The sequence below is a fragment of the Homo sapiens genome, chromosome 1 (genome assembly GCF_000001405.40).
Source record: "Homo sapiens chromosome 1, GRCh38.p14 Primary Assembly".
In the NCBI taxonomy this organism is placed as follows: domain Eukaryota; kingdom Metazoa; phylum Chordata; class Mammalia; order Primates; family Hominidae; genus Homo; species Homo sapiens.
The window spans coordinates 35,703,473-35,720,042 of record NC_000001.11 but is presented as its reverse complement, the minus strand read 5'-3'; the positions used below and the strand labels follow the sequence as shown (position 1 = coordinate 35,720,042).

The 16,570-nt window shown below is 51.9% G+C and overlaps 1 protein-coding gene across 2 annotated transcripts, besides 3 other annotated features; it reads left to right on the top strand.

The window, feature by feature from the left end:
• Positions 998 to 1,427: a silencer, noted in NCBI's record as "silent region_645". NCBI's record gives its function as "represses an Ori minimal core promoter by ATAC-STARR-seq in GM12878 lymphoblastoid cells {active_cell/tissue: GM12878}" and the evidence as "EXISTENCE:reporter gene assay evidence [ECO:0000049][PMID:35858748]".
• Positions 1,159 to 6,166, top strand: C1orf216 (chromosome 1 open reading frame 216). 2 transcript variants are annotated; one of them, NM_152374.2, is made up of 2 exons: positions 1,159 to 1,336; positions 3,717 to 6,166. In NM_152374.2, exon 2 carries the CDS (start codon positions 3,722 to 3,724, stop codon positions 4,409 to 4,411), a length of 690 nt encoding a protein of 229 aa, NP_689587.1. In that variant the 5' UTR covers positions 1,159 to 1,336; positions 3,717 to 3,721; the 3' UTR covers positions 4,412 to 6,166. The 2 variants fall into 2 exon arrangements, with proteins under 2 accessions (NP_689587.1, NP_001335620.1); NM_001348691.2 differs by lacking the exon at positions 1,159 to 1,336 and adding an exon at positions 3,132 to 3,542.
• Positions 4,241 to 4,535: an enhancer, noted in NCBI's record as "tiled region #7840; HepG2 Activating DNase unmatched - State 12:CtcfO, and K562 Activating DNase unmatched - State 25:Art". NCBI's record gives its function as "activates a minimal TATA promoter and a strong SV40 promoter by Sharpr-MPRA in HepG2 and K562 cells {active_cell/tissue: HepG2 | K562}" and the evidence as "EXISTENCE:reporter gene assay evidence [ECO:0000049][PMID:27701403]".
• Positions 12,055 to 12,194: a silencer, noted in NCBI's record as "silent region_644". NCBI's record gives its function as "represses an Ori minimal core promoter by ATAC-STARR-seq in GM12878 lymphoblastoid cells {active_cell/tissue: GM12878}" and the evidence as "EXISTENCE:reporter gene assay evidence [ECO:0000049][PMID:35858748]".

The following is a 16,570-nucleotide window of genomic DNA, read 5'->3' as shown; positions in this document are numbered from 1 at the left end:
ACATTTCCCCAGGGTGCAAAAGAGTGAGGGGGGTCAAGCTTCAGTAGAGTGGAGCTCTGAGAAGAATCCACTGGAGTTTGGAACCCAAGACCCTTTTTTATCACGCTGTTCCTCCTCACCTGGGCAAAAGCACTGGTACCCACTTCACAGGCATCATGGGTGGGCTCTGTGTCCTGCGGAGAGCCCCCGTCCCGGGTACAGGACATCAGCCCTGAGCCCTGTCCCAGGCTTGGATCTTCTTTCTCTCTCTCTCTTTTTTTTTTTTTTTTTTTTTTTTTTTTTGAGACGGAGTCCCACTCTGTTGCCCAGACTGGAGTGCAGTGGTGCAGTCTTGGCTCACTGCAACCTCCACCTCCCAGGTTCAAGCGATTCTCCTGCCTCAGCCTCCCAAGTAGCTGGGATTACAGGCGCCCGCCACCAAGCCCGGCTAATTTTTGTATTTTTAGTAGAGATGGGGTTTCACCATGTTGGCCAGGCTGGTCTCAAACTCCTGACCTCAGGTTATCTGCCCGCCTCGGCCTCCCAAAGTGCTGGGGTTACAGGCGTGAGCCACCGCACCCGGCCTCAGTGACTTTAGTCAAGTAAGCACAAAAAGGAATATATAATTCCAAATTGTGATAAATGCTATGAAGAAAAGGAATGTGCTCTGACATAAAGGGGGGAACGAACGTGATCTAGGGAGTCAGAGATCTCTCCGAGAAGAGATCTGAAATAGGAGTAAGTCGAGAGGGGGAAGAGAATGCTAGACCGAGGGAACAGTGCGTGCCAAAGCCGCGTGGCGGAAAGGGGCGTGTGGGAGGGTAACTGCGGAGAGGGAGGGTAGAGGACGAAGCCGGAGAGGCAGACGAAGGGCAGGACGCACAGAGCCCCGCGGCTACCGCCTTAGGGGTTGTCCCGGCGGTGGGGAAGCCATTGAGGAGTTTAACGCCGGAAGGTGGTGACTAATCAGATTTCACTTGAAAATGGCACGGTGTCTGCAGCGAGGCTAACTGATGGGAAGGGCCCAGCGAATGCCAATAGGAGAGAGCACCGGACCTGGAAGGCCTGGGTCAACGCGGCCCCGCGCGGGGGCGAAGCGGTTCCGGCGCAGGGGCCTGGCGCGGGGCTCCGCGGAAAACCGAACCGGCCCACGTGGGACCGGTCGCTCCGCCCTGCTGCGCAGACGCCGCCTGACTCCGCAGTCCGGGACTGGGGCTGGGCGCGCTGCCCGGGAGCCCCGCACCCACGCCTGGACCGCGGAGACGCCCAGGCCGAGGAACCCCCAGCCCAGGGACTAGACACCACCAGGGCCGGGCGGAGCCAGAGCCAGACGCGCCGGAGCGGGCGCCTCTACGCCGTGAGTCCGAGTCTGGGGCCCGAGGCGGGGTGGGGCTTGGGGCTCAGCCGCGGGAAGCGGGGAGTCACAGTGGCCTCCTTCGAGGAGACTAGGGAAGGATGGTCTCTGTCTCCTGGGGTGGTCTCCCACTCCCGCAAGGCCAGAAAAGGAGGCTGCCTCCTGTTTGGGCGGAGACCTAGTCCTGGCGTGTCGGGGTTCTCATTTTACTATCTCTGAGAACCCTGTGATCCCTAGCGCCACCCCCACCCCATCCCAGCTTCCTTCACGGCCCCATCCAAGTATAGGAAAAATAAAAAATTGGGGCGAGGGGAGATCTCTAGGCACCTTCCCACAAGCCTTGCTTAGAGGGCGATTAGAAACGAACTGTTCCTACACCCTTCTCCCCAGGACTTCTCTGCCCATTGCTGGGGGTGGGGAGGGTCCATGCCACCTATGGAGCGCCTTCCAGTGCCGGCTCCACTTACAATACCCTTCCTCTTCATGCTCTTCAATTGTTCTAATCCCAGTGCTGTTTGGTCAGTAGAATCCCTTTGTCAGTTCAAATCCTAATTTTGGTTAGAAGCAGGTTATGGAGGAGAGAAGAGTGGTGTGGTATGCCCTCCCTCCAGGGCCTCAGAATGGAGCAAGCTAGGGACGGGGACCGCAAGATAGTGGCTGTGTTCCAGAGGCATTGGGAGGGAAGGGGGCAGGCTCAGAAGAAAAGCTTGTCACTGGGGAAGGCGGGGCTCCCTGGCTGGGGTAGGAAAGGGAACCAAACCCAGCTCTTCCAGAACCCAGCTCTTCCAGCCCTGGGGAGTCAAGAGTGGATTCCTGAGCATGGAAATTCACTGCAGTCTCTTCTCCCATTCACTCACTTAGCAAGTACCTGTATGCACAGACAGCCTGGTTCAGGGCTCTATGCTGGCTGACTCTGGGGAATATGATGGAGGATATATACAGGAGGTCCAAGCCAGATTACAAACTGCTATTACAAGATCATTACCACAAACCAAAAATGCCAGTTGAATAGACATTCACTGATCGTCGACCATGTATGCCAGGGACGGATGCAAAGTTGGATAAGACAGTGTATACCCAGCGCAGTGGGGACCCAGAGGAAGGCATAACTAACCGTGCTTGTTTATGTAATATTGATTGGGGCAGTATCAAGACGGCTTCAGAGACATGGGGACATGGAAACATGGGGATATTACAGCTAATTTTGAAGTACAAAAAGGAATTTGCTGGGTGGAGAAGGGAGGAGCTTTGAGGGGAGGGGAGAGGAAGGATATTGTAGGCCAAAGGAATACTGTAAGAAAAACAATGGTGTGTTTTGAGATCTCTGGGCAGTTTGCTATGATGGGAGGGGCAGAGTGGCAAGAGGCAGGTATGGAGGGGTGAGCAGGGGCCAGATCAAACAGGGTGTTGTAGGCCAGGTAGAGGTTTAGCAGGAATTCAGGGAGGGCATTAGGAGTGGTGACAAGTGAAATTTACATTTTTAACTGGAGGCAGAGAGATCAGTGAAAAGGCCGAGGCAATAATCCAGGTCAGAAATGGCCTGGAAGAGGAAGAATGGTCAGAATGTGGTTATTAATGAGATGGGAGAAGGAAGGATAGTGAGGACCCCAGGATGCTCTCAGCTTTCTGGATGGAGTACAGAGCCATCTTGCTGAGGATACTGAAGGAGAGCTTGTTTGGTTATGTAGAATTTTGGCGGGGGGCGGTGGTGGAGGGGGATGATGTCACTCTGTCACCCAGGCTGGAGTGCAGTGGCGCAATCTCGGCTCACTGAAACCTCTGCCTCCTGGGTTCAAGTGATTCCCCTGCCTCAGCCTCCCAAATAGCTGGGATTACAGGTGCCTGTCACCATGCCTGGCTAATTTTTGTATTTTTAGTAGAGATGGGGTTTCACCATGTTGGCCAGTCTAGTCTCGAACTCCTGACCTCAGGTGATCTGCCTGCCTCGGCCTCCCAAAGTGCTGGGATTACAGGTATGAGCCACCATGCCTGGACTGGTTATGTAGAATTTGAGGAGACTATGGTTGGTTGCAGGGTTGGATAGCAGTTGGATCTGGGCTGAAGACAGATCTGAGAGTCACCAGCATATGATGGTCTTTGAAGCTACAGCAGAGAATGAGGTCCTCTGGAGAGAAATGCACAAAATCAGAAGACAGCCTGGCTCTGAGGACGGAGGAAAAACCCTTTGCAGGAGACTGAGAATGAACAGGTAGACAGGGAGGACGAAAACCACGAAGGGAAGTGTTACCAGAGTCAAGAGAAAGGGCTTGACAGGGAGTGGCCAGGCTCTTGCTTGCAGCCTTGTCCCTGCAGCTAAGTTGCCCTGACTTCAGGCACCCCACCCTGTCCTACTGTGACTCGGTCTCCTGCTTTCCCTTTACAGGCTAGATGTTCGCCATCCAGCCAGGGCTAGCTGAGGGGGGCCAATTCCTGGGGGACCCACCTCCTGGATTATGTCAGCCCGAGCTCCAACCAGACAGCAACTCCAACTTCATGGCAAGTGCCAAGGATGCTAACGAGAATTGGCATGGGATGCCAGGCAGAGTGGAACCTATCCTGAGGAGGAGCTCCTCTGAGTCACCCTCTGACAACCAAGCCTTCCAGGCCCCTGGATCCCCTGAGGAAGGGGTGCGCAGCCCCCCAGAGGGGGCAGAGATTCCCGGGGCTGAGCCTGAGAAGATGGGTGGTGCTGGCACAGTCTGCTCCCCTCTGGAGGACAACGGCTATGCCAGCAGTTCCCTGAGCATTGACAGCCGTAGCAGCAGTCCTGAGCCTGCCTGTGGGACCCCGCGAGGCCCTGGCCCTCCCGATCCCCTTCTGCCCTCAGTGGCCCAGGCTGTGCAGCACTTACAAGTCCAGGAGCGCTACAAAGAGCAGGAGAAGGAAAAGCACCACGTGCACTTGGTGATGTACCGTCGCCTGGCACTGCTCCAGTGGATCCGGGGCCTGCAGCATCAGTTGATTGACCAGCAGGCCCGACTGCAGGAGAGCTTCGACACCATCCTAGACAACCGGAAGGAGCTTATTCGCTGTCTCCAGCAGAGGGCAGCACCATCCAGGCCCCAGGACCAGGCCTAAGGGTGTGCCTCCACAAGTGTGCAAGGGTATATGTATATATTTGCAGGCATGTGTGAGGCGCACTAGTAAGTACATAATTTGCTGGCATGATTGCAGGTAGGCATGAGTGTGTATGTGCTAACATGTAGGCTGGTGTGTGTAGGCATGTGTGAATAAGCATGTATAAATGAGCTTAAGTGTGCTGTGTGCACATGTGTACACACAGCTAATTTATCTGCAGACCTATATGTGAGCATGTAAGAGTGAACATATGTGTGTGTGTGTAGTATGTAAGAATGAGGAACTCGGTATGTGCATGTGTAGACAGGTACCCAGCAGTGTGTGTATATGCGCATGAGTGAGGATGTATAGGCAGAAGATGTGTGTGTCTATGAGTGAGTTTGAGTGTGCAGGCTTGTATTAGGTGTATGTGAGGAAGCCCTTGTGTGTGCAGGGGTGCACATGTTTGGCCACAGGCATGGGAGGTGTATGTTAGGAGCATGTGTGTTTGTAGGCAGACTCATGAGCAGGTGTGTGCAAATACATATCCAGCTGCACTGTGGGTGTCCACCCACACCTTGTGTTCCTCATGGCCTACCCCAGCCTTTCTTCTCCACTGGGTCCCACTGTTCCCTGGAGACAGAGGGCTAGCATGCTGTCATTTATCTGAAGGTTGTGGCTGACCCATTCTCCTGGGATTTCCCAGGCCACCTCTCCTTTCCCTTTCCCTCACTTAACCCAGACTTGCTCAGCTGAGGCTATTGTCCCTGATGTTGGCTTTACTTGTAGGAGGTTTAGTGGCTGCTCTGGCCTGCCATGGAATTTTGGCTGCAATTTTGGCAGTGTGTGGAGAACTGGTATCAGGAAAGGGAACCAGGAGTAGTGATGAAGATGATGGTGGGGATGGGGACAGAGGACATAGGGGACTGTCCCTCTTGAACTCTGCCTTTGGGCACATGGGAGATGGGGACAGGAAAGATGATAACAGTGGAACCCTGTGAAGAATAGGAGAATGGGAATTCTAAAATACCAGTTCCCAAACAAACCATCTCTCCATTGGAAAAGGAGCTGTTGCAAACCGTGTTCATTTAAGCTTCTGATGAAAAGCAATGTATGTTTATAAGCTTGCAAGTAACAGACAAGATGTTCCAAGGCCGATGAGGAAAATATCGCTTCCCTGTCTCTGCCTCTACCTTGCTGTGCCTCTCTGGCTTTAGCAGCATTGGATGTTGAATTGGTTTGGTTCATTTCTCTGAAGTCGGACTGTCAGGAGGAGCCAGAGGTTGGCTTTCTGGGATGTGAAGGGGACAGTGTCAGCCTAAGCCTCTGGAGATGCTTAGGATGCTGAATTTTAACCCCTTCTTTCACTGCATGGCCCTTCAAACAGGGATTGGCAGGCTCCGCGAGTTACAGAGTGGGTGAGTCTTGGAGAGAACCAACGACTAAGGTAGCTTAGCTCTCTGCTTTGTTCTTGGGAGCCAAGAGAATGCAAGATCCTGGTGGGTGAGCAGTGGTATGAAGAGGGGACACTGGTGGGTGAACAGTGGCATGGAAGTCACTGATGCAGCCTCTGGCCCTCAGTCTCCCTATCGGCAAAGTGGGGGGCTCTTCCTATCTCTAAAGAGTTTCATCCCTGACAGGTGGATGGGTGAAAGATCCAGAGAGTGGGGGTGAGGGGTGGGCCCTGAAGACTTTTTGTCTGTAGCTCTTGCATATTGAGTGTATAAACCCGGCTTCTGGACCAACCCAAGATGAATAAACTGGGGCAGAAAATTACATTTCTTGAGTATGTGTTTTTCTTCTACCTGTTGTCTGATGGCCTCTTTTTCATACCATCTGAGCTCCCCTTTTGAGTAGGGTCCTGGACTAGGAGCTAGGGAGGTGGTTTTGGGGAAAGACACTGAAGAATTTAGACTGCTGTGCCTGGCGATCCAATGGGGTGGAGAAGTCTCTCAGGGGCCATCCAGTGTGACAGGGGAGACTTGACTTCTACCCTGAGAGCCCCATATGGGATTGTCCTTGTCCTGTGTCACCTTTGGGCCTAAATGAATTGCGAGGGACACATACCATACACACTCGTACATACTCAACTGTACCCTGGGCAGGGCACGGTGGCTCACACCTGTAATCCTAGCACTTTGGGAGGCTGAGATGGGTGGATCACCTGAGGTCAGGAGTTCAAGACCAGCCTGGCCAACATGGTGCCTGTCTCTACTAAAAATACAAAAATTAGCCAGACGTGGGGACGGGTGCCTGTAATCCCAGCTACTCAGTAGGCTGAGGCAGGAGAGTCGCTTGAACCTGGGAGGCAGAGGTTGCAGTGGGCAGAGATCGTGCCACTGCATTCCAGTCCGGGCAACAAGAGGGAAACTCCATCTCAAAAAACCAAATAAAACAAAAAATAAAACACCAAGTACCCTGGTGTCATCACTTCCCTGAAGGGCGCTCTGACTATGACTATGATTTCGGGTCCTTAGATGGTTTTGACACACATGTAGTTATAATATACAGTCATCCTTTGTTATCTGAGGGGATTGGTTCCAGGATCCCCAGGGATACCAAAATTCACAAATCTGAAATACTGTATTTTATTTTTATTTGATTTGATTCTTTATTTTTGGAGACAGCGTCTCCAAGATACGCCCAAGCTAGAGCATAGTGGTGCAATCATAGCTCACTGTACCCTTGAACTTCTGGGCTCAAGTGATCCTCCCACCTTAGCCTCTGAGTAGCTGGGACTACAGGCACACACCACCACACCCAGCTAATTCTTAAGTTTTTTGTAGTGATGGCTTCTTGCTATATTGCCCAGGCTGGTCTCAAACTCCTGGCTTCAAGCCATCCTCCCACCTGAGCCTCCCAAAGTGCTGGGATTACAGGTGTGAGCCACTGCGCCTGGCCAACATTTTTATTTTATTTTATTTTATTTTATTATTATTATTTTTTTGAGACGGAGTCTCACTGTGTTGCCCAAGCTGGAGTGCAGTGGCGCGATCTCGGCTCACTGCAAGCTCCGCCTTCCGGGTTCACACCATTCTCCTGCCTAAGCCTCACGAGTAGGTGGGACTACAGGCGCCCGCCACCGCGCCCAGCTAATTTTTTGTATTTTTAGTAGAGACAGGGTTTCACTGTGGTCTCAATATCCTGACCTCGTGATCTGCCCGCCTCGGCCTCCCAAAGTGCTGGGAGCCACTGTGCCTGGCAACATATTTATTTTAAACTTCACAAAGTATACTTCTCACTGAAACAGTTAATAATTCTTGTCATCTCCACACTTGACACTTAAACAGAAATAGTATTGAACCAATTTTTACAAATTCCACTTACTAAGAGATGTTTTGGCAAAGGGCTAAGGCTAAATTTGAATGGAGATTTCTGACAATAAGATGTCTGTCAAACCTTCAGAGCATAAGAGGGTGAATTTTTATAAGGAGCCTTTTTTTTTGGAGACAGTCTCACTCTGTTGCCCAGGCTGGAGTGCAGTGGTGTGATCTTGGCTCACTGCAACCTCCACCTCCTGGGTTCAAGCCATTCTCCTACCTCAGCCTCCCAAGCAGCTGGGACTACAGGCACATGCCACCACGCTTGGCTAATTTTTTGTATTTTTAGTAGAGATGGGTTTTTGCCATGTTGCCCAGGCTGGTCTCAAACTCCTGAGCTCGGGCAATCGGCCCACCTCAGCCTCCCAAAGTGCTGGGATTACAGACATGAGCCACCATGCCCGGCCAGGAGCCCCTTTTCTAAATGTGTGAGGGCTCTTTTGAACACAGCCCCTGGTGAAGGACAGAGACCCTGAAGCCAGACACCCTGGATTTGGACCTTGTCCCCATTGTTTTATGTTTTTGTGACCTTGGGCAAGTCAATTAACTTTTCTGTGCTTTAGTTTCCTCATCTTAAAATGGGAATAATAGTAATAACTACTTCGCAGGGTTGCTGCAAGGATTAAATATGTAATATATAGAAGACTTAGAATTGTACCTGACACATAGTAAGTTACATTAATGAATTATGATTATTATAAATCATACTTTTTTGGTACATACAGCTTTTTCATAGAAAAACATTTTTTCTTATGAAATTGGAATCTAAAAAAATTTTTTTTTTTTTTGAGACAGGGTCTGGCTCTGTCGCCCAGGCTGGAGTGTAGTGGTGTGATCTTGGCTCACTGCAACCTCCGCCTCCTGGGTTTGAGCAATTCTCATGCCTCAGCCTCCCGAGTAGCTGGGATTACAGGTATGCACCACCACGCCTGGCTAATTTTTTTGTATGTTTGGTAAAGATGGGGTTTTACCATGTTGGCCAGGCTGGTCTCTAATTCCTGGCCTCAAGTGATCCGCCTCAGCCTCCCCACCTGCTGGGATTACAGGTGTGAGCCATCGCACCTGGCTGAATCTAAAATTTGAATGTCATCTTTAAAGGGGAAGGGGACTTCTAAAAAATAAAGCTGCCTAATATTCCTTTCCAGAAAAGAACTCTTTGAGCTGAGAAAAAGAAGAAGGTGAGACCAAGGGAATGTGTGGTGAATTGTATGTTTACAGGACCCCTGCCAGTCACTGAAGGTCAGGGACTCCCCGGGGGATGATGGGTTTGGGAAGGAGATTGGCAAGAATAGAGCCACAGCCCAGGACGGCAGAGTTAGGGGCAGGGAAACGGAGGCAGGACTCCAGTGGCTGAACCAACTCAGCCAAGAATTGTGGTTCTCCATCAGGTCCACTGGCCACGAGGCCTAATCATGGGAAGTGCTAAGGTGACCACAGTACCTCCCATAGGCAGATCTGAGCTACACTCTCTATACTCAGTTTCCTCACCTGTGGCAACTATAAGGGCTGAATGAGGAAATGGACGTGAAGATGCTCTGTATGGATTAAGAAGATTGTGTGCCTCCCCTGCATGAGGCCCTGAGGAGCCTGCTCTTGTCTTTGAGAGCTGTGGTGTGCACAGGTAGATGAGACTTGCATCCAAAAGCCTAATGCAGGCTGGGCACAGTGGCTCATGTTTGTAATCCCAACACTTTGGGAGGTTGAGGCAGTAGGATGGCTTGAGCCAAGAGTTTAAGACTCCATCCCTACAAAAAGGGAAAAAAAATTAGTCAGTCATGGTGGTACATGCCTGTGGTCCTAGCCACTCAGGAGCCTGAGGCTGGAGGATCACTTCAGCCCAGGAATTTGAAGCTGCAGTGAGCTATGATCCCACCACTGCACTGAAGCCTGGGTGAGAGAGCAAGACCCTGTCTCAACCCCCTCCCCAACAAAAAGACCCCAAAAGCCTAATGCACAAGCCACTCGTAACCTAGGAGAGGGGAATGCAGGACTGGCTGTCTGTCTAGTTTTCAGTCAGGGACTTCTATACGTGGTTGTTGTCTTAAAGTCATTGGGCCAGGTGCGGTGGCTCATGCCTATAATCCCAGCATTTTGGGAGGCTGTGGCGGGTGGATCATTTGAGGTCAGGAGTTCGAGACCAGCTTGGCCAACATGGTGAGACCCTGTCTCTATGAAAAATATAAAAATCAGCTGGGCATGATAGTACATGCCTGTAATCCCAGCTACTCGGGAGGCTGAGGCAGGAGAATTGCTTGAATCTGGGAGGTGGAGGTTGCAGTGAGCCAAGATCGTGCCGCTGCACTCCAGCCTGGGTGACAGAGTGAGACTGTCTCAAAAAAAAAAAAAAAAAAAAAAGTCATTGGGGTAGGAATTCCTTAGTCCGTGGGACAGTGAGGGGAGTAGGAAAGGTTCATGCACTTGGTAGGAGTTTGGCCAGTCAGCTACCTCCACCCCTTCACCTCTCTCACCAGAATAAAATCCCAAGGAAGTCTAACCTAGGTTTTGGGTGCGACATGAGTCATCTTGCTTAGTAGGAGACATAGGGATGAGATTGGAGCAGAGACCCAGAGACCAACACGGGCAGGGCACACAGCAGAGGCCTGAGTAGGCTGCAGGTACAGGATGGAAAGCATGGAAGGGATTAGCAGAGAGGCCTGTGAGGCTGGGTGCACTGAGAACTTGCTTGCTCTCCAGGGACACCAACTAGGTCAGCCCCATCAAGTATGGTCAGAGTAAATGGGGTTAAAGCCTGAGTGCAGGGAGGCAGAAAATGAACTGGGAACTGAGTAAGAGGGTAAAGCATTAGAAGACTGCAGAAAAAGGCTTCAGAATATCATAGGTGGGCTCCCCGGTGGGGGATCTGGCTTGTTAGGGCTCTGTATAATGGCTATCTCTAAGGAGACTGACTGCCCCATGATGGCAGCCTGTGACCTGTCTACCTGCCTCTTAGCCTTCAAGCCTCACCGGAAACCCTGTGTAGGTAGGTTTGCTCCTACTCTCAGCATGAACAGGTGACAGGAACAGGAGAGAGGCGAGATCTGTAAGGGCCTGGTCAAGGAAGGCTTCCTGGAGGAAGAGGAGCTTGGAGACCCAGTAGAAGTGGAGGCAACAGAGGATAGTGATTTCTAGTGCAGAGTGGACCCAGGTGTCTTGGATCCTCCACTTCTTACTTGTGCCTCACTTTTCTCAACTGTAGAATGGGAACAATGGGAGTACTTCTCTTACAGGGTTACTTGAGAGTTAAATAAGTTAACAGATGTTAAGGGCTTAGACCTGAGCCTGCCTGGCTCACAGGAAGTAGTCTACAAATGTTAATTGTTTTTATCTGACTAGGAGAGGACAAGAAGGCCCTCAGAGGTAGGAGATGCATGTAGCATCTGGAATCCCAGACCCAGGAGTTAAAGGATGCAGGTGGTGAGAAGAGGAGCCTGAGATGGGGATGTTCTGGGATCTGAGCCAGACCTCAAATCCACACTGGTATACGTGCTCACGCCCACCAGGCACCTGCAGACGCGCAGGCACCAGCCCCCACACCCGTTCACACACATACACATGCACCATGGTTCGTTCACACTCACAAATGCACACTCCGGGACACAGAGCCACATACATACTCCCTCCTCCTCCCACCCCTGGCAGAAATGACTGGACCCAGCCTGGGGAGGTTTCCGCACCCCAGCCCTGGCACCAGACTGCCAGAAATGCGGCTGCATTTCCCCTCCAGCCCTGTAAGCTTCTCCAGCCCAACCTTATCCTTGCCCAGATCCCCCCTCCTCCCAGCCCTACTCCTGCCCCCAACCCGTAGGCTCTGAACCAGTCGATCCCCTAATCGCTCCATTCTCATTTATCACCCATAGATTTGAGAAGAGATTCTTCGGGTGGAGACTGGCGGGAGGGGGAGAGGGTGGCGTTGGAGAAAGGGGGGTGCGTACATCCTACTAAGGTCTTAGATGTCGCTGCCGGGAGAGGGCTGGGTTCCCCGAGGGCCTCCTCGCCGTGAATGAAAGGGGGCTCGGGCTGTGGGATGGGAGCCGTCCGAGGGGCTCGGGCGTGGCGGGGGGCCGCGACCTCGCCCCAGGAGGGGCCTCCAGGCCTCCGCGCCGGGGAAGAGGTAGCCGGCGGGAGCGCGGCGCTCAGCTGGTGCTCGGCGCTCCCCGGGCGGGGCTCGTCCCCGAAAGGCGCAGACAAAGGGGCGGCCTCCCCGGAGCCCCGCGGCGCCTCGAGTGGCGCGGGCCGGGGGCTGCGCACAAAGCAGGGGCGGGCGGGGCCAAGCCCGCCCCCACGCGCCGCCCCGCACAGACTGTTGATCCGCACAGTCCCGAGCGCCCTTTACTGCCCCTAATCCCAACAAGCATGAAAACGGCTGGGGCCGGCCCGCCAGCAGGCCCTTTGTCCCCGCGGGTACGGGGCAGCTGCAGCCTGGGCCCCTCCCCCTTTTGTGTCTCCTCCCCCGCGGCCCCCGCCCCGCCACCTCAGCTGCCGGGAGCGCCCGCGCCGCCCAGGGCTTTGGCCTCAGGCGCGAGGGCGCACAAAGCAGGGAGGGGAGGATTAACCCGGGTCTGCAGGGCGGGGTGGGAGCACGGAGGAGAGGGCTGCTGCGGGTAGGGTGTTGGGGTGGGAACCTGGTGGTGGGACTGGGTTTGTGGGTGTGTTCTTGAGTGGTGCGAATTAGCACCGGCCCCCAACATTCAGTGACAGCTCTCAGGGTGAGGGCCGCTCCCTAGACCTTGATGTCTCCCTGGGCTGTCGTGGGACCGCTTCCTTCCACACTCCTGGGATATCCTCCACCCCGAGGCCTCAGTTCTCACCCACTCTCGGGGCTCCCCAACCTCCGTCTCCAGCAGGGGCTTTGCCTTCCGCCCCACCTGCAGCACATCCTCCCGCCCACCGGACAGCTCCACCCACGGCACCCGCAAGCACCTCAGGCTTCCCACGTTGGAAGCCGAGCTCGTCTTCTCCGCAGCCACAACCTGCTCAGTCTGCTCATCACCTGAAGTGAGGCGAGCCTCAGGCCCTCCCACCTCACTCCGTGCCAGTCAGGTGCTAAGCTCTGTCCCATCTGCCTCCCAGCCCCTCTCCTGTTCATGCCCTCTTGGCTCAGGCCACCGCCAAATCTCATCTGGACACGTGGAACGGTTTCTGTCTGACCCCCTCTCATCCACGGGACACAGTATTCTAGAGTGGGCTTCTGAAAGGCAAATATGGCCCCATCCCTCCTCCAGTTTAAGATCTCTCCAAGGCTCCCCAGGTGCTTAAGTTACTCAGCTTGGCTTGCAAGGGCTTTGCTGGCTGCTTCCTGCATCCCCGCTGGCCATCTTTCCCAGGGTCTGATGTTTTACAAATCCACAAAGACCTTCCTTAAGAGCCTCCGTGGCGGGGCGCGGTGGTTTACGCCTGTAATCCCAGCACTTTGGGAGGCTGAGGCAGGCGGATCACTTGAGCTCAGGAGTTCGGGACCAGTCTGGCCAAAATGGCGAAACACCATGTCTACTAAAAATACAAAAATTAGCCGGGCGTGGTGGCGCAGGCCTGTAATCCCAGCTACTTGGGAGGCTGAGGCAGGAGAATCGCTTGAACCCGGGAGATGGTTGTTACAGAGAGCCAGGATTGTGCCACTGCACTCCTGCCTGGGCGACAGACTCTGGCACGCGCACGCACACACAAGAAAGAAGGGGGTAATGAAAATAAGTATCATCTACTTTACAGAAGCAATGTGAGTATTAAATAAATAATGCTCTCGAAATTGCTTTGGAAATTGCAAAATATTTTACTACCAAATGTGTTGTTTTTTGTTAACTTTTTCTTGATTTTTTTTCACTCTAGGAGCAAATATTTTTATTTCAATAATTGACCATTTGTTTTCTAAACAGTGTTTGTGCTCTTTTGGATTTTGTTTGTTTGTTTGTTTTAAGACAGGGTTTCAGTCCGGGCGTAGTGGCTCACACCTGTAATTCTAGCACTTTGGGAGGCCAAGGTGGGCAGATCACCTGAGGTCAGGAGTTCGAGACCAGCCTGGCCAACATGGTGAAACCCCATCTGTACTAAAAATACAAAAATTGCCAGGCATGGTGGCACGTGCCTGTAATCCCAGCTACTCAGGAGGCTGAGGCAGGAGAATCGCTTGAACCTGGGAGGCGGAGTTTGCAGTGAGCCAAGATTGTGCCATTGCACTCCAGCCTGGGTGACAGAGTAAGACTCCTTCTCAAAAAAAAAGGGGAGGGGGTCTCACTGTTGCCCAGGCTGGAGTGCAGTGGTGCAATCATGGCTCACTGCAACCTTGAACTCCTGGGCTCAGGTGATCCTCCTGCCTCAGCCTCCTGGGTCCTGGGTAGATGGGACTACAGGCAGGTGCCACACACCCAGCTAATTTTGTTTGTTTGTTTGTTTTGTAGAGATAAGAGTCTTGCTTTGTTGCCTAGGCTGGTCTTGAACTCCTGGCCTCAAGGGATCCTACTACCTTGGCCTCCCAAAGTGCTGGGATTACAGGAGTGAGTCACTGCACCTGGCCCTGTTGTGCTCTTTTGAAACTAATTTTGATGGAGGCCACTGAAATGGTAATCTTTATTATTGTGATTATTACTAATTTAAAAGAAAGTAAAAGTTGCTTATGTTAACAAAATTGGCAATATTTTCCACAGGATGTCTTACCTCTAGATTCCCTCTTTTATTTCCCAAAAGCCATTGTGAGCATTCCTAGAATGCTCTAGGACAGGATGGGAGGAAGATGTGATGGGAATGGGAACTGAGAATGGAGAAGTGGATGGGAATGAGGTGGAGACAGGGGCAGCTAAGGGATACAGGGTAAGACAAAAATTGACAACATGTGTCAGAGCCTTCCTGTTTCACCCTCGCAAACTTCCCATGAGGGAGTTTCTCCATTGTCCTATTTTACAGGTGAGTAAACTGAAGTTGCTTTAGGTGAGTTCCATTTCTGGAAGGACAGACACACTACTCTCTGTTTCCACATTCCCCCAGAATAGCTAGCAGCTGCTACCTATTCTGCTTCCTGTGCCTGGGGTGTGTGAAATCCTCATACAGCTTTCCAGGACTCACAAACCACCCTAGCCTGAATTTATTCCTACCCCCATACTCACCCAGATAGAAGCAGATCCTTCTGAATAGACTTGCTTGATGCTCCCACTCCCCGCATGCCTTAGGTACAATCACTGTGTTGATCTCCATAATGAAACTTATTATTTTCTTTCTTTCTTTCTTTCTTTCTTTCTTTCTTTCTTTCTTTCTTTCTTTCTTTCTTTCTTTCTCTCTCTCTCTCTCTCTCTCTCTCTCTCTCTCTCTCTCTCTCTCTCTCTTTCTTTCTTTCTTTTCTTTCTTTTTTTGAGGCACAGTCTCACTCCGTTGCCCAGGCTGGTATGCAGTGGCGTAATCTCAGCTCACTGCAACCTCCGCCTCTCCAGTTCAAGCGATTCTCATGCCTCAGCGTCTCGAGTAGTTGGGATTACAGGCACGTGCCACCATGCCCAGCTAATTTTTGGCTAATTTTTGTCTTCTTGGTAGAGACAGGGTTTTGCCATGTTGGTCAGGCTGGTCTTAAACTCCTGGCCTCAAGTGATCTGCCCACCTCAGCCTCCCAAAATACTGGGATTACAGGTGTGAGCCACCGCGGCCACCATAAAACTTCTTTCACGTGAGACGCTAAGATACTCCCCTAATTCCTAATGAGACTTTCTAGCTTGTGTGTCTGTGTGTGGGCTCATGCACATCGGCGTTTTGGGATGGAGAAGTTAGAGTGAATATGTAACCATCTAACAGACAGAAGACTAAGGCAGCGGGAGGAGAAAGGGAGACTGGAAATGACAAATTACGTTATGGAGTTTTCTAGTACCTTGCCTCTTCATCATATTTAACATTTTCCAAGTTAATTTCACTTCTGTTTTTTGGTATAAAGTAGGTGCAACCCCATTTTTCAGAGGAGAAGGTGTAGCCAAGCATTAACTGTGGAAGCTGACCTTGTGAATATAAACCCCTCACCCAGTGAGGCAGGAACGGTTAGGATCACCATGGCCTTATAAACCTCTCACAGAGGACAGCTACCTTCAGGAGCCCCTTACTAAACCAGTAGCCTAAGGCTCTGCTCCCCATTCTAATAACATCCCCTGTGTGTGCGCCAGTTTTTTTTGTTTGTTTGTTTTGTTTTTTGGTTTTTTTTTGGGACGGAGTCTCGCTCTGTCACCCAGGCTGGAGTGCAACCTCCACCTCCCGGGTTCAAGCGATTCTCCTGCCTCAGCCTGCTGAGTAGCTGGGATTACAGGCACGTACTACCACACCCTGCTAATTTTTGTATTTTTAGTAGAGATGGGATTTTGCCATGTTGGCCAGGCTGGTCTCAAACTCCTGGCCTCAAGTGATCTGCCCGCGTCAGCTCCCAAAATACTGGGATTACAGGCGTGAGCCACTGCGCCCAGCCATGTGCTCTAGTTTTATGGTTTATAAACCCCTTTCCCTCTATTATCCCATTGTTCTCTAGAGGCTATCCTGAGAGGTAGGCATTGACATGTCTATTTTATTTCATTTTATTTTTTTTATTTATTTTTTTAGACAGAGTCTCACTGTCACCTAGGCTGGAGTGCAGTGGCACCATCACAGCTCACTGCAGACTCAACCTCCTGGGCTCAAGCAATCCTCCCACCTCAGCCTGGGACCAATCTCTTGGGCTCAAGTGATCCTCCCACCTCAGCCTCCCGAGTAGCTGGGACCGCAGGAGTGCCCCACCATGCCCAGCTAATTTTTGTATTTTTCTGTAGAGATGAGGTTTTGCCATGTTGCCCAGGCAGGTCTTGAACTCCTGGGCTCAAGCAGTCCATCTGCCTGGACCTCCAAAAATGCTGGAATTACAGCCATG